At 44.1% G+C, this 22,796-nt stretch overlaps 1 long non-coding RNA gene across 1 annotated transcript; it reads right to left on the bottom strand.

Annotated features, from left to right (window-relative positions):
- Nucleotides 1–13,968: 13,968 nt before the first annotated feature.
- Nucleotides 13,969–21,894, bottom strand: LOC107985939 (uncharacterized). Its single transcript, NR_158150.1, has 7 exons — nt 21,828–21,894; nt 20,009–20,163; nt 19,101–19,240; nt 18,725–18,970; nt 17,274–17,967; nt 15,294–15,650; nt 13,969–14,373 (listed from the first exon to the last, which is right to left on the bottom strand). It is a non-coding gene; the product is annotated as an uncharacterized LOC107985939 (long non-coding RNA).
- Nucleotides 21,895–22,796: the final 902 nt, after the last annotated feature.

Below are 22,796 nucleotides of genomic sequence, written 5' to 3'. Positions count from 1 at the left end.
TTATTGCCCAAGCTGGAGCGCAATGGCGAGATCTTGGCTCACTGCAATCTCTGCCCCCTGGGTTCAAGCGATTCTCCTGCCTCAGCCTCCCAAGTAGCTAGGATTACAGGCGCACACCAGCACATCTGGCTGATGTTTTTATTTTTAGTAAAGACGGTGTTTTGCCACATTGTCCAGGCTGGTCTCAAAGTCCTGACCTCAGGTGATCCATCTACCTCAGCCTCCTGAAGTGCTAGGATTACAGGCATGAGCCACCATGTCCAGCTTGATTTGCATTTTTAATTGCTAAAACTGCTGCATATTTCCATATGGTGTTTATTATCTATGTATTCTTGCATAAAAGCTGTTTATTCACTTTAAACTACTCTATAAAGGAATATGGGTGTTGATTTTATGAATATTTATCAACTTTAATGCATTTAGAGAGCATATTTTAATCAGTTTTTTGTCACGTAATTTTTCTCTATTACTCTTCGTGTTTATTACATTTTGTCGAATAAATTTTTTATGTAATAAAACACATTAATTCTTGTCTCCATTAATATCTTCAACTTACTCAGTAATCATAAATCACTTTCCTGTCCTCCATTTGTGTTATTAAAGTTTATGACTAGATTAAAAGTGTAATTCTTTGATCCCCCTGTGGTGGTTGTTGAATGTAGCAGGAGGTGGTGGCTCGGCCCTCTTACCTGCATGTTGTATATAATCTTATCTAGGGAAGGGACTGATTACTGAGGGCAAGACATCTTGGTCGTACAAAGATAGGTGTGATGCTTTCCTGATCTCAGAGGCTCTTTCATCTATCACAGAATAAAATCTGCTTACCGAATAACCACGACGCAGCAAAATGTGCTAACAGTTGATTAGCAGCACCAACAAGGGTTTCTGGCCTTGCTGGGGATAGAAATCACCTCCAATGAGGAGGATCAGAGAAGTCCTCCGAGGGAGGCAGCTTTTGATCTGAACCTTAAATATGAGGAAGATTTTCACCAGCAAGTGTGGGGAGAAGAGGATGGAGGAATACTTGGCGAGAGGAGGGTGAGCAAATGCCTGGAGGCAAAAGAACAACAACAAAACAAAACCATAAGAATAATCAGTGAGTACCCAATGTTGACTAGATGGCTGTTCATTCACTTCAGGCTTGTCAATTTTTGATTTTAAAGAAAGTATACGTAGAACATTTCTATCATTTTCACTCAGCTGATTCCTTGCCTGTAGTAATTCCATGTATCTCCCATAGTTACCTTTTTTGCTGTTATTAAAAAACATTCATTCTTCAATATTATTTCCCTTGTGTGTTCTTCCAGATGATTTTTAATATTGTTTTATCGGGGCTTTTTTATTTCTATTTGCTCATTGAGTCTCAGATCAAGCATTACCGCTTTCGAGAAGGTGGTCTTGATCCCTACATCTGCCCCAGTCCCAGTCCTAGCTGGTGCCCCTGCTGTGACTGGCCCCAGAAGCGAGTGCTGACACAGGGATGCACTTCTGCCTCTCTACTAGATGGCAGGCTCCCCGAGGATATGGCTGGGCACCAAGCGTCTCTCAGCTTTCCCTGGCAGGTTCCCCGAGGATATGGCTGGGCACCAAGCGTCTCTCAGCTTTCCCTGGCAGGCTCCCCGAGGATATGGCTGGGCACCAAGTGTCTCTCAGCTTTCCCTGCCATGCACCCCACTTCCACCTCACCCAAGGCCTGGATTAGGCTTAATAAACTCACATGAATGAATGAATGAGGAAAGATATGAAGAGAACCAAGAACCAGCTTACTGAGGATGGAGAACAGTTGAGGGTGTTTAAGGATATCAAGGAAGACATCTGGTCTTAGAAGCCGAGAAGAAGCTATCTAAGCCTAAAGCCAAGTAGAATTAAATAGCACAAGAGAAGGGAGGACATATACAGAGTTTTGGTTCTTTTTAAAGGTTTGTAGTCAGGGAAGGCATTAGGGCAGGGTCAAGACAAACTCCTTTATCACAGTCCAAACATCACCTCCTCAGAATGGCCTAATTCACGGGTTCTCAAACTTCAGCTGACATCAAAGTCACCTGGGAAGCTTGTTAAAGCAGATTGCTGGGGCCACCCCAGAGTCATGTCTGGGCTGTAATGTGATGAGTCCCCCATCAGATTACTTAAAGGTATGTGTCTGCTGCCGGAACCCTAGAGGTGATGAGCCAAGGCCATGGTGCCCCACTGAGGAGCAGATGTCCCTGATAACTCAAACATCCCAGGGAGTATCTGAGACCCTACTAAGGAAAACAGTCCCATCACACACACACACAGTAGGCAAAGAGCCAGAAAATTAGCTTAAAACAGCTTAGAGATGGGAGAGGGCACACATCTCTAGAGCTGCCCTGCTGCTGCCCCAGAATGCCTTGTATGCAAGCTCTAATAAACTCATCTACTCACCAAGCTGTACTTGTTTGAGTCACTTTTTGGTCTCTGTGCTTCCTCCCAGCTTGGGAGATGGTTTTTCTGTATGATTCTGGGTTTTTCTTGTTACATGGGCTAGGGGCCAAGAATTTGCATTTCTAACAAGTACCCAGGGGATGCTGGTCCTGCTGATCCAGGGACCATGCTTTGGGAACCACGGGTGTAAAGTAGGATTCTCAGTCATTCTCTACCTACTTTCCATTTTCTTATATAACTTATAAGCTCTCACTGTATGCCAAACACTGTTCTAAGCACTCTCTATAAATCAAAATACTCAGTTTTTACACAATCTTATGAGATACTTTTATTACCTCCATGCCACACATGAAGGAAGAATCAAGAGAAATTAAGTCATACCCCCCACATCATGTAGCTAGTTAAGCTCTAAAGTCCGTTGACCATAAGAGGAACTTTAAATGCTCTGAAGAAGCCAGACGGAGTCTATCTGTTGTGGACCTTGGACAAGCCACTTACCTCTGCCTCAGTGTCTTCTAAAATGGAGATTATAATAGCACAAATCTCATAGGGTTGTTGGGAGGACTAAATGAAACAATTCACAAGGGGGCTCTTATTGTAATTATGATCTGAAATATATATGATATTTTAGAGGTCTTCCCTCCCAACCAGAACATCAATTCTATGAGAATGAGAAGTTGTCTTGTTGGTTGCTAGAAACCGGAATAAAACTTGGCGCATATTAGACTCTCAATAAATATCCCTTGTGTTGTCTTTCGCCAGGTAAACTTTTCTTTTTAGATCAACATTATTCCTACTTTTGAGATTCAGCTTTTATTGTATTTACATATGAACATCTAAATGTTTTCACTAACTCCTCCTGAGTCAGGGATTCTCAACCTAAGCACTATGGAGATTTTGGGCTGAATAATTCTTTGTTGGGGGTGGGGTGGGTGCTATCAAGTATGTGGTAGGATGTTTAGCAGCTTCTTTGTTCTTTACTCCCTGGATGCCAGTAGCCACCACCGACCCCACCAGTTATCTCCTGGGAGCAGAATCAACCCAGTTGAGAACCATTGATCTAGATAATTCAGATGTCTCTAGCAGGCATTTCCTCTCTTAAACATCCCGTTCAACCAGGAAGTGTTAGTCCTGCCAGGTTTCCCTCCTGTGGTTTCCCAGAGAAAGGTCTGCAGCACTGGCACAGCCCTTGCCTTAGTGCTCTATGTGATAATCAATGTTTTTCACAAGGAATCAGAGAAAACCGCCAGACACTGGATATGGCTGTTCCAAATGACCAATATTGGAAGGGTTAAACATCTCAACACAAAGGTCCTTGAGGATTTCTCTCCACCTTCAAGTTTGAGACTCAACTCCTCAGACCTCACATTCCAGCCCATCTCCAGGGTATCTGGTACCCAGAATGTCTACTCCCATCAGAAACAAAGGATCCTTCTAAGGCCTTGCCTTAGTCCTTCTCCTCACCTAAACAGTGCAAAACCCCCAAAAGAGGGAACTTTCCTGAGGTCAGAGTTATTAAATCTGCCAGGATACCTGGTGTGAAGTTTAAAAAAGAGAGCATGTCATGAAGACATGCCACCTCATCCTTCCTGCTCCCTTCATAGCTTCATTCTGCTCCTAACCACACAGACGGGTGAGTTCCTGAACAAGAAAGTCGGTGTGCACACACCAACACACATGCACACACACACACCCCTCTGGGAAACAAGCAAAATTTTTTTAGGGATAGTCTAAATCCACATTTAGAGAAATTTTTTTCCCCTAAAGGGAATGTGATGAACAGAGAAGCCTGCCACATATAGGGAAATGCTCTTTTATGGGGCCAAGCAGCCCTGTTTCCCTCCTTGTTGCTCCTAAACCTCTCTGTTCCAGAAGGGATTGCTGCTTTACTTTGGCATTACCAAAAGGCTTAGACAAAGAAATTGCTTGACATCACAGGTGAAATTCAGACCTCTGCCTCCAGAGAAACTGAAAAAGTGCCTGCAACTTTAGCCATCTTTCTTCCTCACCCACTGCTTGTCTCCACCAGGATTTTAGAAAATCATATGGAGAAAATAAAGTTATATACACAAAAAATCCTGCACATCGTTGTTTGTAGCATATTTATTCATAATTGCGTACTTGCCAAAACTGGGAAGCAACCAAGAATAAAGCCAAAATCATTTGATCTAGTCCCAGTCAGGTACCCCATTATATCTGCAGTTGGAAATAAATGGATGTGCATCCTCTATACATTAATATATGCCATAATGTTATCTGCCTTCATAAAACTGTTTTAACCTCTGATTATGTTTTACACTGAAATACAATAATTAAAGGCACACTCCTTTCCTATGTTATAAACTACTATTGTTGGTACTCAACCAAAATGAAGAGTTTTGCTCTATGTGTGGAAACGGATCTGGGCTTGATGTTGGTCCCAGCCTCCTCAGTGCTGCGGATTTGCTTTAGAATAAAAGTGGGTGGAAATCATTTCTCCAGATAAGCAATGGGCTTATCTCCAGCCCACTATCAAAGCAGTGTTAAGGATCAGTTGGAGACAGGGAAAAGAAAACAGGTTCAAGGAAACATCGAGGCATAATTGGCATTTGTTTTCCTACTGTGTGTGGGTGTTGAAGCTAATTTGTTTGCAGGAACGTGGGGAAAGATAGTGCCTTAGAGTAGTTGTTCCTCCTACTACTCTTGGAGTTTTAATTAGCAGATGGGCTCCTTCCCCCACCACCTGCCAGCTGCTTTCTTTTCACATGACCAAAGGTAGTTTTTAAAAATTTCCATGCATTCAAACCTCAGCTCTTAAAAATGCCCTTTTTCTCATGAAAAGATCTCTAATGAAGACTCTGGGTCAAGAATGAAAAGTTTCCCAGAGTCAACAATGATAATAAAGACCACCCAATAACTGCAAGAATCCTGTACAAACAGGTCACATCCCATGGGCGGGGACTCCGCTGGGTTTGAAATTCTCACTGGCTCATCTTTCCACCTGTTGTGCTCTCCTCCCTCCCTCATCAGGAGGGGTGAGGGGATAGAAGCAGGATCAGGTGGGGAGGGAGAGGGAGCACGTGGAGGAGAGTGTGTGTCTCAGCTGATCTCTTCTGCATTTTAAGCTGCTCGTAGGAAGGCGAAATTGGAAAGGAGGGCTGTAATGAGGTCGAGAATTACCCACATTCCCCCTGCAGGCTAATTTACTCCCCTACTCAGAGCTGCGTGAAGTTCAGGGTAGCCAGGACCAGGGGATTTAGCCCCAGAGCCTGTAACTGAACCATCAGCCCTGGAATAACCAGTAGTTGCAATTTCTAACTAACTTCGGAGAAGCAAAATAAAAAAGTGCTTAAAAACCAAAATGATTAAAAGAACCCCAAGGCTCGTAATTTGGAAATGTCAATTAGGAAACACATCATTGAGAAAAGTATAGATTAGAAAAATAAATCAAGACAAGATGATACTTATAAGTTTAATGTCTAGATTAATAGGATGACAATAGAGGGCCATAAAGAAATATCTTACCCATGCATTGCTTGTCAGTGAATGATAGCTATAAGGTTTTAGAGAAAAGCATGAAATATTTTGAAAAATGCATGAGTTTAAGTATAGATTCTAAGAAAAACCCCTCACTCACTATCTTACTTCACGTGCTGTGATGAAAATGGCAATTCTGCCCAAGACCCTGGGGCAGAAGGTATTCTGATTTCTGGAAGCCCTTGCCTTTCATTCGTCTCCAGGAAGTTTCTGAAATGAATTCAAATTCTCCAGCTGCAGAGAAAGGCTCTGGTGGTTTCTGATTCCCTGGTGTGCTGACTGGCAGCTGTAAATGAACTTCAGAATTTCGAAGGAGTAATACTTTCCAGTTGCCCAGGTTCCGTCAGGGTTCCCTCGTTTTCTCCGCCCAGGCTTTCTTCTCCTGTACTGATCTTTGTCTTTGCTGGAATTTGATTTCCTATGGGTGGTAGGAGAGAGTCTTTACCACGCCTCCTCCTCAGAGTTTCTTTGATGTTTATAATTTCTGATTCCAGCACATTCCAGGCACATGGTTTTTATCTTGCAAAATCTGAACTTTTTTTCTGGACTTTACAGAAATCCAGTCTCTGGATCCCCTTCCTCTAAGCAAACGTACCTTTCACTTTTTTTTTTTCTTTTGAGACAGAGTTTCCACTCTTGTTGCCCAGGCTGGAGTGCAATGGTGCGATCTCAGCTCACTGTAACCTCCGCCTCCTGGGTTCAAGTGATTCTCCTGCCTCAGCCTCCTGAGTAGCTGGGATTACAGGCATGCGCCACCATGCCCGGCTGATTTTTGTGTTTTTAGTAGAGATGGGGTTTTGCCATGTTGGCTAGGGTAGTCTTGAACTCCTGACCTCAGGTCATCCACCCACCTCAGCCTCTCAAAGTGGTGGGATTACAGGCATGAGCCACCGCGCCCGGCCAGCTCTCACCTTTAAAAATACAGTTTGTGCAATGGATTATTTTCCTACTGTGAAATTTTCTTTGGGTTTCTAAGGGTCATAGAGAAAACAGAAGACGTTCAAGATTCTTGTTCTTTTTGCTCCCACTGTTCTTTCAGCATCTCCGCATACTTACCCAGAAATGATGTGACCCAAGTCTTGGTTTGCTGTCACCGAGTGAAGAAAGAAGGGGAGCTCTGGAGCCCAGCAGGTGCAAATGCCTGCCTGGTCACCACCAGGTCGCGGGTACAGTCACTATGGGCAGGAGGCTTCATTGCTCTGCACATTGTCCCCATGGCCTTCTTGCAGCTTGCCTCTCTCCTCCAGGGAGTGACTGCCTTGGCACACTCTGTTCCAAATAAGACCTGACAAACAAGTGTGATGGATGTTTCCTGTCTTTCCTCTTCTTCCTCCGTTCTCCTCCTTTCCTTTCATTCTCTTTTTTTTAAGGCCATCATAGTTGACACCAAGATCCCCCTTTCAGGACTGAAGGACTGAGTTGTCCCTCCCTCCCTGTTTTAGTCCATTTTCAAGCTGCTGATAAAGACATACCCGAGACTGGGAAGAAAAAGAGGTTTAATTGGAGTTACAGTTCCACATGGCTGGGGAGGCCTCAGAATCATGGCAGGAGGTGAAAAGCACTTCTTACATGGCGGCGGCAAGAGAAAATGAGGAAGAAGCAAAAGTGCAAACCCCTGATAAACCCATAAGATCTCATGAGACTTATTCACTATCATGAAAATAGCACGGGAAAGACTGGCCCCCATAATTCAATTACCTCCCCCTGGGTCCCTTTCTGGGAAATACAATTCAAGTTGAGATTTGGGTGGAGACACAGGCAAACCGTATCACTCCCCTTCTCGGCTGCTGGGAAAGCTTCCACAAACAGCCTTCACCTCACCACACAGCCTCTTCTGGAATCACCTCACACAAGGCTGCTGCCTGTTCCAGGAGCAGCCCTCAGACATGATCAACACAGCATATAAAGGCCCAGGCCCCAGCCCCAACTTGAGGCTCAGAAGGGTCTGATCAGCTTCACAACTTCCCAGTGGGGTTAGCTGTGACTTTTGTCAAAACTGTCATGCCTCAGCTTCCCCCTTGGCCCAAATCTTCCTACATTCCCTGCATACCAATCCCCGTCTCAGTGTCTGTGTCCTAGCGAACCTGACCTACAAGAATCATGATGAGGTAGGATAAAGAAGGCACAATTCAATGGACAAAAGAAATCTACACTCAACAGGTCCATCGTGATAAAAGATGGTGACCAATGAAAGGTCATCACTTAGCATTCCATTCAAACAACATATTTATGGGGAAAAAAATCAATGGGAGAGAGTAGTCAGGGGAAGCTTCCTGGAGGAGGTGGAGTGAGAGCTGTTGTTCGTGGGTAGTAGGAATTGAAAAGGAGGAGGAACAACGCTGAGGACTTTAGGTAGGGAATTGCTTAAGCAATTTGAAAATGAACATCCTTAGTTTGTGATACGGCGAGTTTTATGTGGGCAAAGCAGACATGTGGTTTGGATAAGCTAGATGGTGTTTAGTTAGATTTGGAAGAATTTTGACAGCCAGGTTGAGATGCCTGAGCTCCCCCAAGCAGTGAGGAACAATGAGACATAGTGGTGCAGAAGAGGGACTTGAATGTTATTTAGGTGGAGGTGATGCTGAATAATTGTTTAGGCTGGGTGGCAGAGATTTCATGATCATAGTTGATACCAGTAGTTGAAACAATCACTCCTAATTTTACTTATTTTTAAGAAAATTACTACATTTTCATTTTGTTGTAGAGTATTACAACATTCGAGGTTGGTGCCAAATTAATTGTGGTTTTGCAAAACCGCAATTAATTTTGCACCAACCTAATAGAACAGTGACTCAAGTCTCACAAGGTGTGTGGCTGTTTTAGCAACTGTCGACAGCTCCATTGCAGTGACACCTCCCCCTCCCGGCTGTTGGCACATTATGATGGGAGTTTGAGAGAGGCTGCTTGACGGCACCACCAGACTTTTCCTGTTGCATTTGTGTGTGCAGGAGTATTATTTTACCAGCAGTCTATATGATGAGTTAGTGCTGGGATTACTTTGAAGGGAGGAAACCTTTTGGGTGACAATTTCCACGGATCCAAGCGGGGAGTGAAAGGAACAAGGACCCAGGCAAGGGCAATGGAGAAGGACAAGAACAAACATTTCGAGGGAATTGGCCAGATTAATTGGAATTGCCAAAGAGAGCTCAATTCTGCCTGATGGAACTTTTAAACAGGGAAGATGGGGGTAGGAGTGGGTAGTTGGAATCTGAGGCTCCAGGGGCTTCCAGACCCCATCCTTCCAATGGACCAAAAGTGCTGTCGCCTGGTAAGGCCCAGAGCATATCTGTCCCTTTCACTCTTGCTTCCCAAATTATCCCACTTCACATATTTGGGGTAAAATGAACTGACCTCAACAAGGAGGCCACACCCCCTCACTCTGAGTTTCTTTCTCATGAAGGCAAATGGTTTGCCCTGAGCCATGCACAGTCGCTATAACTTGTGACCAAAGGGTGTGAATAGGGTTGCAGATCTGGTGTGCGACTAGGACGCAGTTGGTATCAGAACTGTCCTCAGTTGGAGGGTATCTAGCCCATGGGGACAAGAGCCAGCAGCCTTGAACTTGTTAGCATGGAAGCCTCATTTCCCCGCTTTGCCTTGGGCATCAGGATGCTTAGAGCGGTATTTAATTTAATTTTTTATTGTGGTTTTACATATATATATATGTATATATATACACACATATATACATATTACATTTTATAAACATAAAATTTATCATTTTAAACATTTTAAAGTGTACAATTCAGCAGCATTAATTACCTTCACAACATATGCAACCACCACTACTATTCCCAAACTTTTTTTTATCACCTCAAACAAAAACTGTCTAACCATGAAGCCATAACTCCTCATTTTCCCTTCTCCCAACCCCTGGTAACCTCTAATTAACTTTATTTTTCTATTAGTTTTGCCTATTCTAGATACTTTAAGTAAAATTGTATAGTATTTGTCTTCTTGTGTCTGGCTATTTTCACTTAGCAAAGTGTTTTCAAGGTTCATCCATCTTGTAGCATGTGTCAGAATTTCATCCCTTTTCATCTTCCGTTGGAATATATAAACCTCATTTTATTTCTGGATTCATCTGTTGATGGACATTTGGGCTGTTTACATCTTTTGGTTATTGTAAATAAGGCTGCAAAGACATAGACATACAAGTATCTGGTGGAGTCCCTGTTTTCATTTCCTTTGGAGTGGAATTGTTGCGTCATATGATAATTCTATGTTTAACTTATTGATGAACTGGTGAACTGTTTTCCACTGTGGCTGTGCCATGTTACACTCCCCCAGCAGTGTATAAGGGTTACAATTTCTTCACATTCTTGCAACATTTGTTATTTTCCATTTTTTCTTTTCTTTTTAAATTATAGCCATCTCAGTCAGTGTTCCTTGTATCTCACTGTGGCTCATATTTAATTATTAATTGCATATATCTTTCCCTTCCTTTGTTGTACTTTTATAAATTATCTCTATTTTTATTGTTTATTGTCTTCTTTTTTCATTGTACATCTTTTTGGAAATAGGTGAATTTTAAATCATGTGTGAAGAAATGCAAAAATATCACAAAGACTTAATGGGACTTGCACTGCTTTAAAGGAGCTTATGTTTTGTGTTATGAAGCACTACATCCAAATTGCTTTTCAGCTCCCAGATGATCTTGTCATGGAGGATTTTCTTGTTTTCTCTGTTTTTCTTTTTCAAGTTTCTTGTGTTTGCCTGTACGGTCCATTGGAGATTTCGCTGTTTCCTGAGCCATTTGACAGTTGAACTCATCTAGTCAAAAGAGATGCTAGTCCTTATTGTCTTTTTTGAGTAACATTTATATTCTATTGCCAAGATATGAAACGCCTAGTGTATTCTAGGTGAAATGATACAGGTGATGGAAGTCACACAACCAGCCCCAGCCCTCACTCTGTCATGACAAATTTCCAAGACAAATTCTGGAAATTCTCTGTTGTTCTTTAAACATTTTCTTGGGCAAATATTAACTATTATTTTCACTAATGACGTCAAGAAGGGCTAATTACGGTTAATCACAGTAGAAAATAAAACTTGATTCCCTTTCCTGCATGGCTTGAGCATGAAATAGGAGAAGGGACAAGACAACCTCCGGGTATTGTTTCTAATTCTTTAAAAAGTTGTACTTGCAGCCAGGCACGGTGGCTCACTCCTGTAATCCTAGCACTTTGGGAGGCTGAGGCAGGCGGATTGCCTGAGCTCAGGAGTTCGAGACCAGCCTGCGCAACATGGTGAAACGCCGTCTCTACTAAAAACACAAAAAATTAGCCAGGAATGGCAGTGTGCACCTGTAGTCCCAGCTACTCGGGAGGCTGAAGCAGGAGAATTGCTTGAACCCAGGAGGCAGAGGTTGCAGTGAGCTGAGATCGCACCACTGCACTCCAGCCTGGGTGACAGAGCGAGACTCTGTCTCCAAAAAAAATAAAAAAATAAAATAAAACAAGTTGTACTTGCATGTAGAAAAAGCATTTGACAATTTCAACATCAGTTGAAGACAAAATATCCAAGAAACTAGGATTAAAAGGGAACTTCCAGTTGGGTATGGTGATGGCTCATAATCTCAGCACTTTGGGAGGCTGAGGTGGGCGGATTGCTTGAGCCCAGGAGTTTGAGACCAGCCTGGCCAACATGGCAAAACCCTGTCTCTACTAAAAATACAAAAATTAGCCAGGTATGGTGGCCCATGCCTGTAATCCCAGCTACTTGGGAGGCTGAGGCACGAGAATCGCTTGAACCTGGGAGGTGGAGGTTGCAGTGAGCCAAGGTCACACCACTGCACCCCAGCCTGGGTGACAGAGTGAGACTGTCTCAAAAAAAAAAAAAAGAAAAGAAAAAAAGAAAAAAAAAATGTTGGGGGGACCTTCCTCAACATGATACAGGACCATCATCGTATATGGAAAGCCAGAGCTGACATAATATGCAATGGTGAAAGACTGAAAGCTTTCTCTCTAAGACTAGGAAGAAGACCAGGATGCCCACTTTTGCCAGTTCGGTTAAGCATAGTTCTAGCCACAGCAATTAAGCAAGAAATAGAAATAAAAGGCATCCAAATTGGGAAGAAAGAAGTAAAACTATATTTGCAGATGACATGATATTATATATAGAAAACCCTAAGGAATCCACAAAAAATTGTTAGAGCTAATTAATTCAACAAAGTTGCAGGATACAAGATCCACACTTAAAAATGAGTTGTATTTCTATACACAAACAATGAATGATTCAAAATAAAACTAAGAAACAATTCTACTTACAATACCATTAAAAAGTATAAAATACATAGGAATGAATTTAACCAAAAAGTTGCAAAGCTGGTAAATGAAAACTAAAAAACATCACTGAAAGAAATTTTAAAAGAACTAAATAAATGAAAAGACATGCCATATTCATACATTGAAAGACAACATTATATTATTAAGGTATCATTACTTCTCAAAGCAATCTATAGATTTAATGCAATCCATATCAAAATCACAACAGCCTTTTTTTTTCAGAAATAGAAAACTCAGTCCTAAAATTTATATGGAATCTCAAGAACCTGGAATAGCCAAAACAATTTTGAGAAAAGAATAAAGTTGAATGACTCATAATTCACAGGATCAAAACTGACTGCAAAGCTACAGTAATCAAAAAAGTGTGGTTCTGGCATCAGGATACACATATACACCAATGGAACAGAATTGAGAGTTCATAAATAAATTCATATATCAATGGTCAATTGATTTTTGAACAGTGCCAAGACCATTCTATGGGAAAAGGAACACTCTCTTCAACAAATTGTTCTGGAACATCCGCATGTAAAAGAAAGATGTTGAATCCTTATCTCATACCTAATGCAAACATTAACTCAAAATCTATCAAAGACTGAAAGTTAAGAGCTAAAAATATAAAACTCTTAGGAGACAACATAGAGGAAACTCTTCAGAGCAGTAGCTTGTGCACTGGTTTCTTAACTATGACACCGAAGGCACAAGCAACAAAAGAAAACAATGGATAAATTGGGCTTGTCAAAATTTGAAACTTGTGCATCAAAGGACAAGTTGACAAGTTGTGCACTACTAAGAAAGTGAAGACAACCCACAGAATGGGAGAAAATATTTGCAAATTATATATTTGATAAGAGTCTAGTATCCAACATATGTGAAGAACTTTTTCAACTCAGCAATTTAAATTTCCCAATTTTTAAAAGGGCAAAGGATCTGAAAAGATATTTCTCTAAAGAAGATATACAAATGGCCAACAAACACCTAAAAAGATGCTAAGTGATATGAGTCATTAGGAAAATGTAATCAAAACCATAATGAGATATTATTTTATACCCACCAGGATGGCTATAAGAAAAATGAAAAATATAAATAACAAGTGTTAGCAAGGAGGCAAAAAACTTGCAGCTCTCATGAAATGTAATAAATAATGGTGCAGCTGCTGTGCAAAGCTGGCAGTTTCTTAATAAGCTAATCGTAGAATTACGACCAGCAATTCCACTTACTTGTATTTCAGGATTCAAGGTGACACTTTGTCACCGACTTTTGTTGTCCATGGCTTTTCAGTTTGGTTGCTCTGTTTTCACATGGGCACTCTGGAAGATCCAAACATTATTCTGGTATCGCTGTTACCATCTTCCTAGGCCTCCTGTTGGAGAGCTTTGTGAAATACCCCTTTTTGATATGCATTTCAAATGTTTCCCCAGTTTACATTTGTCTTTTGTCATTTAAGCAGCTTGGATGGGGGACTTGGATATCAGGAGATGGGGGAATTTGGGGACCATGGGTGGCTTCTCACATTGCGTCCTGTGTGAGCTGGCAGCAGCACTTCCTAATCACCCAGGGAGTCCGTCTTATCCCCCTCTTCACAGCCCTGAGGCTCCATAAAGTGATTAGACTTTCTCAGGTTGTTATTAGTATTTTTCTCCTGGGCTTCCTCAATAGTACAATTCAGTTCACCTATTGCTCAGAAAATATTGCTATGGTAACCTATTCTGGCAAGTAAAGCAATTACCTAGAGTTGAAGAAAAAAAATTTGGACTAAAAACCTGAGTACGCAACCATTTATTACCCAAAGGCACTTGAAAGAATTAAGGAAAACAAACAAAGGCAGGTACATTGCTCTGTCCATGACAGATTAGAAAGGGCTTAATCCACCTGGAAGGATCAGAGGACAATCCTTTAGACTAGGGAGTGTGGGTGAATCTGATTCCTTGCCACACTGAGGTTTGCAAGATAGACTGTAATGAGAGGCTGCCAAATGTCTAATTTGGGGTCAAAACCTAGCTTGTATTAAAGATTCTTCAAGTCATGTAAGGTTCCATTGATATTTAACCCCAGGTTTCCATTGCTGTGAAACCCCGTTCCTGGGTTCAATGCAGAAGTCCAGCCTCTTTCTTCCCAGTGGTTGACAGGACTCCTGAGAAATGTGTACACGTACAAGTGAGTCCTTTAACTAGAAAAAAAGGAAAGATGCTCTATTAGTTTCCCACTGCTGCTGTAACAAATTATCACAAACTTAGTGGTGTGAAGCAACAGATATGGCCCTTTCCTGCATTTTCAAAGCCAGCTGTGTAGTATCTTCAAATCTCTCTGCGACTCTCTGTCCTCTGCTTCTGCTGTCACAGCATCTTCTCTGACCCTCTTGCCTCCCTCTCATGAGGGCCCTTGTGTTTACATTGGGCCCATCTGGATAATCCAGGATAATCTGTCCATCTCCAAACTATTTACTTAATCACATCTTTAAAATCCCTGTTGTCATATAAAGTAATATATTCACAGTTTCTGAGGATTAGGATGTGAAGAACATTGAGAAGTCATTTTTCAGCAGATCACAGACCCCAACAGCTCTCAGGTATGCCTGTCCTGACCAGAACCTGGTCTTCTCACATGGGCTCCTGTGAAGCAGGTGCCAGGGGAGCTAGAATGTGACTCTGCTCCTTATAGCCAAAGATGCTCAGAGTGGCACTTTTGAAACAAAAACTTATTAAGTATTATTTGGGGTAGGAAAGAGGGTCCAATAGGAAAGTGTCATACAGGTTGAGTATCCTGTATTCAAAATGCTTGGGACCAGGAGTGTTTCAGACTTTAGATTTTTTTTTTTTTTTTTTTTTGATTTTGGAATATTTGTATTACACCGGTTGGGCAAACCCAAATCTGAAAATATGAAATCCAAAATGCTTCACTGAGCATTTACTTTGAGCATTGTGTTGGTGCTCCAAAAGTTTCAGGTTTTGGAGCACTTCCGATTTTGGATTTTCAGATTTGGGATGCTCAGCCTGTACTCTGATTCTACTACTCGCCTGCCAGCTTTCTGTGTGACTTTGCTTCATCTGCTACCCTCATTTTCCCCTTTTTATCTTCAACTTCTCTCACCTTTGAATTCTTCTTTTGCTTTGACCAAAAATATGCCTAAGTGTGTTCCATCCTAAGAAAAGCAAACAACACTGCCTTCCCAGGCCACTCCAGCATCCCTTGACCAAGACAAGTGGGCAGCTCAACAACCAGTTTTTAACAGAAAATGTGGCCAGAAAATTAGTACTCATTCCACAGAATACCACTGCTGTGATGGAGACTGTGTGGCTGTGGTCCAGGCATCTTCATTGCCCTTTTTGTAGCAATCACTGCACATCCAAAGTCCTGAGGGGGAGCATCCACATGGCAAAGCCAGGGTCTCAGGCCCATCGCTTGGCATCCAGGGGAACAGGAAGGAGGAGGAGCTTTCCATGGATCCTGAATGGGAGCAAGACACAGCCATCCCACCACAATTATACCTTGTGGCAAGGTCCCCCCATCCTACCGGCATATCAGTTAGAATTAGGTCTCACTGCATGTGAGACAGACAGAGACGCACATGTGTACACACATACACCCCAGAAAAAACAAAGCTTAAACTTTATTTCTATGTCACACAAATAAAATGTGGAGGTAGAGAGTCTAGTGCTGATATGGTAGCTCTGTGATCATCGACTACTCAGATTCTTTCTGGGTGGTGTGTCACCATGTCAGCATGTAGTCTCCTAGCCCAAGATGGCTGCTTACACTCCAGACATCATTTCTGTTTTCCAGCGAGAGAGATCAAAATGACACAAAGAAGGAAACAACCCAGGGGGATGTGACCCCATCTTTCTAGGCTACTTAAGAAGTTGCACTGCATGGTACTTCCTCTGACACCTCATTGGCTACAACTTAGATAGCTACAATCAGGTTTAAGGGGGGCCAGACAGGGTTGTCTTTTTTGGGCAGCCATGTGCCTAGGTGAAATCAGGGGCTTTGTAGCTGAGGAAGAATAGATAATGGGAATAGCATTTTTGAGAGGTTAAATTCCTGCTATTTTTCACCTTTCTTAAAATATTGAAGAAAGTCCACTATGGCTTCTGTGTTAGCTCATTGTCTTGATTATCCTTCTTTTTTTTTTTTTTTTTTTTTTTTTTTTTTTGACAAGGTCTTACTTTGTCATCCAGGCTAGAGTATAGTAGTTCAATCTCTACTGACTGAAACCTCCTCCTCCTGGGTTCAAGTGATCCTCCCACCTCAGCCTTCTGAGAAATTGGGACTACAGGTGTGAGCCACCACGCCCGGCTAATTTTTTGTATTTTTGGTAGAGATGGGGTTTTGCCATGTTGCCCAGGTTGGTCTTGAACTCCTGAGCTCAAGCAATCCACCTGCCTCGGCCTCACAAAGTGCTGGGATTACAGGAATGAGCCATCACGCTTGGCCTTCTGTTTTTAAGCCATTTGTTGTATTCTATTCCTTCCTCACTGACTTTATCAATTAAGTTACTCTGGTTGCAAGTAACAGAAAGTGACCACGTAACTTCAGGAAAAATGGGGAAAAAAATCCTCACAGAATTGAAGGGAAGGCTTGTGAACCTGGCTTAGAGAAGTCAGAAACTCGGCAGCTCTGGGGGCCTGGGAAACAAGAATTATTTGACAATCTCATTGAAATGTGATGCTAAGGTTAGTGAGCTTCAACTATTTTTTTTTTCAACCATTTCATCATGACTCCTGGGATTGTAAGTTATATTTGAGAACATGTCATTGGTTTAGCTTTTTCTCATGCCTGTACCTCCACTAGGAGAGGAGTGAGGGGGAAGAGATAATTCTCTAAAGAAAATAGATGCTATTACCAAAAGGAGAAATAGCCAAAAAACCTAAAAATGCGTCCTACCCTTCTTCAAATAGAACAATGGTTAATTTTACTGCTCTGGCCCCACCTGCTATTCCTTGCTACGCACCTCACTCCTCCGCCTCATGACCCTCTCACTACAGACCCGCTAGGCATTTGCAATATTCTCACTTTATGTAAGTTGTTCCCACTGCCTGGAATATCCTTCCAGCCCTCACTCTTCTTTACCCAAGAGATCTCTCCTGATGCCTCCTGTTTTGGCCCATGATTCCTCAGACCACGCTGGGTGTCCATCCTCTGGGTTCCCACAGGCTCCGCTCAGAAGAGATGAATTTCTATGTTTCTCCCACTGTGTGTAGACCAGGAGTGCCTTATTCACAGGGGTTGCCTTGCTTATCTCTGTTGCCAAAGCATCCAGTACAGTGCCTCACACAAAATAGTTACTCAATAAAATTATGATGGCTGGATAAATGGCTCTAAATGTCTTGCTGCAAATTCTCTTCTGACTTCCAGTCTCCATGCCAGAGCCCCTATGGCTGTCCAGCTGAATTCTCAGCTCTAAACTAAATCTTTCTTTTTTCCTGTCAATCAGCACCTCCTCCTGATTTCTGTTCAACTCCTATTTGCTGAACTCATACTCTGCTTGTGAGACATGAGGGAAACAAAGATAAATAAGATTCAGTCTATGCCTTCAAGAATTGTCTTCATTAGGGTTCCATAACTCCGGCACTATTGACGTTTGGGGCTGGATAATCTGTGTTGCAGGCGTCCTGTGCACTGCGGGATGTTCAGCAGTATCCCTGGCCTCTGTCCACTAGATGCCAGTAGCATTGTCCTCTCGGTCAGGACAATTAAAAATGTCTCCAGATGTTGTTAAGTGTGCCCTGAGGAGCAAAACTGACTTCAATTGGGAACCACTGGTCTAGATGCAGAGACATAAAGAAACAGAAAGAAAATTTCAGTATGAAGTAGATGTAAGGACAAGTACAGCAATGGTCTGTGAGGAAATTAAAATTGGAGGCTTTAAAAATACTTGTATCTACAAGGATGAACTGGCCAATAAGCTGAAGCTTAACCACACGAAATAATTAAAGGACATCATAAGACAGCATTTTCACAGGCGGGAAGGAGGAAAGGAGCTAACTAACACTTGTTTAGTCTTTGTTATGCAAAACCTGCTTTGCATTTGTTGATTTATTTCATTCTCACAATATACCAAAGTGTACAGCATGCTCTGCTAATGCCCACAGTGCTAGTTCATATAACCCTTACGGTATAAGGGCTGGATGGCGGTGCTGTCTTTCCATGTGACAGCCACGAGGCACAGGGAAGTTCCTTGCTAGTCAGTGACAGCACTAGAATTCAGACAGGAGCAGACTCCAGGGTCCAGCCCCACGCTGCCCCTTTGCCTCGGCTCATGCGGTTCACGTTGCCCGCACGCCTTGGCTTCTCTCTTCCTTTCTCCCCTTTGCTGTTAGAACATCCTTCGGGACTCAACTCCAACGCGGAGCCCACCCAACGCCGTTCTTGAGCGTTCAGCCCTTTAGATGGCGATTTCCTCGCTGTGGTACATTTTCCCCTGGATTTTCTTCAGATCCCTCTCACATGACTTTGTAGGAGGGGGCTGGAATCACTCCTGCACCCCCAGGCTCTTACTCTTAGTAGCCACACAAATATACCTGTGATGAGAATGGAGTCCAGGGCGCTGCTCCCAGGGAGTCTGACCTTTTTCAATGTCCTCACCCAAAGCCGCCCTGGTAACCGTCTGTTACCAGGGATGGAGGCCACATCCTCTGTGTCTTCGCCCCAGCACCTCCAGGCCTGGTTCGGGCCAGGCTCTCAGGCGCTGGCGGGTTCCTCCTGCCCGCATCTGAGGACACCAGCAGCCTTCCCTGGGGGCAGCAGGGAGGGAAGGGCAGCTCGGCCTGCGGAGGAACAGGAGGCGGTCAGGGAGCGGGAAAGCGCCCGGCCCTAGGGCTGAGCAAACCGCGCTGGCGTCCGGGTTAGGCCATCGCCCTCCCGTCTGCGGCTGACTCTGCGCTTCTCCTCCCTCACCGTGGCGTCCGGGTAAGACTGTCCTTCCCAGGGCTGCCGGGAGACCACCGTGGCGTCCGGGTAAGACTGTCCTTCCCAGGGCTGCCGGGAGACCACCGTGGCGTCCGGGTAAGACTGTCCTTCCAGGGCTGCCGGGAGACCTACGGCGTTGAAAGTGCAGGGGGCACTTGGTCCGGAGCCTCAGCAGCCTGGAGCCCCACTCCTCGCTCCACGTCCCCCTCAGCGCATGCTCTCGGCATGACTGGGTCGCGTGTTTGTCCCACTCTTCCCCTACACTCCGACCTTTCTTTCCTCAAGCTGGATAAAATGAACCCTCGATAGCGCTCCCCTGCCAGCAAAGGCAAGTCCAAAATCACCAGCTGCTGCTCTGACAAGCGTAGCCGGCCCCGTCGCAGCAGCTGTCCTGAGTCGGCACAGCCGAGAGCCCTCTGCTGGAGACGCCGGGAGCCGCGGAAGGGCCGGAGACTTCCCAGAAGGAGGCTCCCTTTTGCAGTTTTTTGGCCTAATGCCTCTGAAACCATGATTTTGATGGTGGGGAGAGGGTGTGAGAAACCGGTAAGTCCTAGAAAACTCTTGTTTCTGACCTTCTTCCCCTTTTCCTGATGTTCCTGATAATAGTGTCGTTAGGTCTTGTTTCTAAGATCTGACTTGGCCTGACTGTACACCTAATCCTTGTGTTTTCATTCCTTCCATTCTACGGATGAGGAAACTGAGGCACAGAGCAGGGAATTCACTTGCTCCAAGGCTCCTGTACATTCTGCCTGACTCCAGAAAGTGCTGCCTTGGGAGGTCTGACAACCCTTGGTTCCCCCTTTCCCAGCTGTGGACACTCCTCTAGAGGCTCTCAGCGATGCCAAGCATCCTGCTTTTGCCTGCCTCCCAAACCTCCAGAGCAGCTTCCCCATGACCTGTCCCGAGGTGGTGAGTTTGCCACTTGTTCTTTTTTCGACGCATCCTTGCCCTAGATGTTTCAAAGTCCTGGCCTTGCTCAAAATGTCCAATTTTCCCTGTGCCGAGGGGCAGGAGGCTCCAGGCAGGGAGGACAAGAATGGTGGCAAGCAACCTGGACATTTTGACAAAAAGAGGGAGAGAGAAACCAGACCTTAGCGGTTATTGTATCCTTGGGCTAATTATGAGCAACAAAAAGCCACTCAGTAATTTAAACTGAAACAGAATTAATTGAAAGGATATGAAATGGCTGCAGAACTAGGCTTGCAAAATAGGCAGGAACAAGGGCAGGTAGCTAAAGGGCAGGACCCTGGACAAAGTCATGGCACACACTCAGTCACTCTCAACCTGGTGTGAGCACGGCTGCTGCGGGGTGCCACAGCTGGAGCTGCCTGTTCCCAACACAGCTGCCTCTGGACCCTGGATGAGAAAGCTGCTACATCTACTGTTTCTGCTCCTGTTTTATTAGTTAGTATCTGATTCACTCTGGGCAAATGTATGTGATTAGCCAAACCCAGGTCACAGCCCCACCCTGGCTGCATGGGAGGCGTTTTTGCTTGTCTGATGGGAGGTGATCTCAGTAACCCACCAGTACTTGAAAGGTATTGTCTCCAAATAAAAGGTTGGATGCGGACTGGGTGAGGTGGCTCACGCCTGTAATCCCAGCACTTTGGGAGGCCGAGGCGGGCAGATCACGAGGTCAGGAGATTGAGACCATCCTAACATGGTGAAACCCCGTCTCTACTAAAAATACAAAAAAACATTAGCCGGGCGTGGTGGCAGGCGCCTGTAGTCCCAGCTACTCGGGAGGCTGAGGCAGGAGACTGGCGTGAACCCGGGAGGCCGAGCTTGCAGCGAGCCGAGATTGCGCCACTGCACTCCAGCCTGGGCGACAGAGCGAGACTTCGTCTCAAAACAAAACAACAAAAATTAGCTGGGCGTGGTGGCACATGCCTGTAATCCCAGCTATTAAGGAGGCTGAGGCAGGAGAATCGCTTGAACCCAGGAGGCGGAGGTTGCAGTGAGCGGAGATAGTGCCATTGCACTCTAGCCTGGGTGACAGAGCGAGACTCCATCTCAAAAAAAGGTTTGATGCTGGCTAGCCCCTTAAAACAAAAAATGTGTTTTTCCCTCCACAGAAAAGTGATCATCCAGTTAGAATTTTCCACATTCCCCTCTTATATTACAGGTACAGATGCTCTGAGTCCCAGAAGGGAGAGTGGCTTTTTTTCTCAAAGACATGTGGCCAAGGCAAATTGGTTTCTTCTTTGGTCCACCACCAATGGACAGGGATTGAATGGAGCACTGTGGAGGGATCTGGAGGCTTTGTTTGGTGCAAGAAGGTTCCATGAAGCTAGGCTGTCCTTCTTCTTCCCACACCAGGCATTCAAATGAAACAGCTGTTTCTCTCTCGAAAGTCCCAGCCTGTCTCTCTTCTGGGCAGCCCTAGTTTGTGAATGACTACAACGTACTAACACCATTGCCTGTGCTGGGCACTTTCACTTTGCAAGATGAGAGCAGAAAACATTTACTAAGAGTCTGTATGTGAATGGGTTCTAGTCTGGTTGCTCCCAAACCTAGCTGAGCGTGAGCATCACCTACATACCTCTGCCCTGGCAAAGGCCTACTGAATCAGAATCTCCTAGAGATGGGGCAAGAAAATCATAGTCCACTAGGACCCGAGGATGCAGGATTTCTAGGCTTAATAAAAATAGCTGGAATATTTGCCTGCATCTATCACATCATTTAGAAAACAATATTGCAACTGTTTATGCCTACCTTCTCTAATCTGTATCCATCCCAAGAAGGATCTGGGCGTATTCTTCTGTGTCCTCTGCAGTTTATGACATCTAACAGGCTTTTAATTTATGATGAATTAGGTTATCCAAACGCACACTGTTGTTGTTGCCACCCCATACTCAGTACAGTAACCTTGAAAACAGCATTAATATACTTGACAGCTACCTTAGGAAGGTGCTGCAGGACTGGACCGCTTTCCAAAGCCCAAGTCTGCTCTCCAGAATTCCAAGAGATCCAGACTGTTAGAAATCCTGTATGCCAAAGCCCAGACTGGCTCACGGTTTGGGATGAGCCTCTGTACCTGCTGCTGTATGGCAGCAAGTTTTTCACGTAGGATGCACGGAGGCCGGTACCATGGACAGAGCACTCAGCACCAGGGCACTGTCCTGAGCACTGCCTTCTGAAGGAGGTATTACTTTTGCTTCACTCATGAATCAGGCCCTGAGGTTAGCAAGTGGCACAGCTGGAATTTGAATCCAGGCATTCTAGTTACAGAGCTCTCACTTTTAAGCCCTGTATAACTTAGGGATCCTGTTTTGGGTATCTTGTTTTATTTATACAAAGCTGGCTGAGACTAAATAAATTTAGACATAGCAGTGTCATCACTTGCAGCCCACAGGACCCAAAGACTTACCTGCATGTAGTGATGTGCTTGGCTCCCCCACCTCACATTCTGCCTTCGAACCTTCATGGCTGCAGCCACCTAATTCCACCTGTCAAACGCTCACATTTGCCACCAAATGAAGCTCTTACTGTGCACGAGCCTTGCAGATGGTGCTGCTTTCACTCACTGTACGTGATACCAGTAACTGGCTCCTTCATATCTGAATCTGGCCAGGCTGGTCAAGTCTGGTTGTCTCTTGTCCCTAGCCTGGACCATCCTGCCACTACAATCACAAACAGCACCCAGCGAATACGGTAGTTCCCCCTTATCCTCCAGGGATACAT

This window comes from Homo sapiens, chromosome 2, assembly GCF_000001405.40.
Source record: "Homo sapiens chromosome 2, GRCh38.p14 Primary Assembly".
Lineage (NCBI taxonomy): Eukaryota > Metazoa > Chordata > Mammalia > Primates > Hominidae > Homo > Homo sapiens.
Note: the sequence above shows the minus strand (reverse complement) of the source record. Positions and strands in the feature narration are given on the sequence as shown.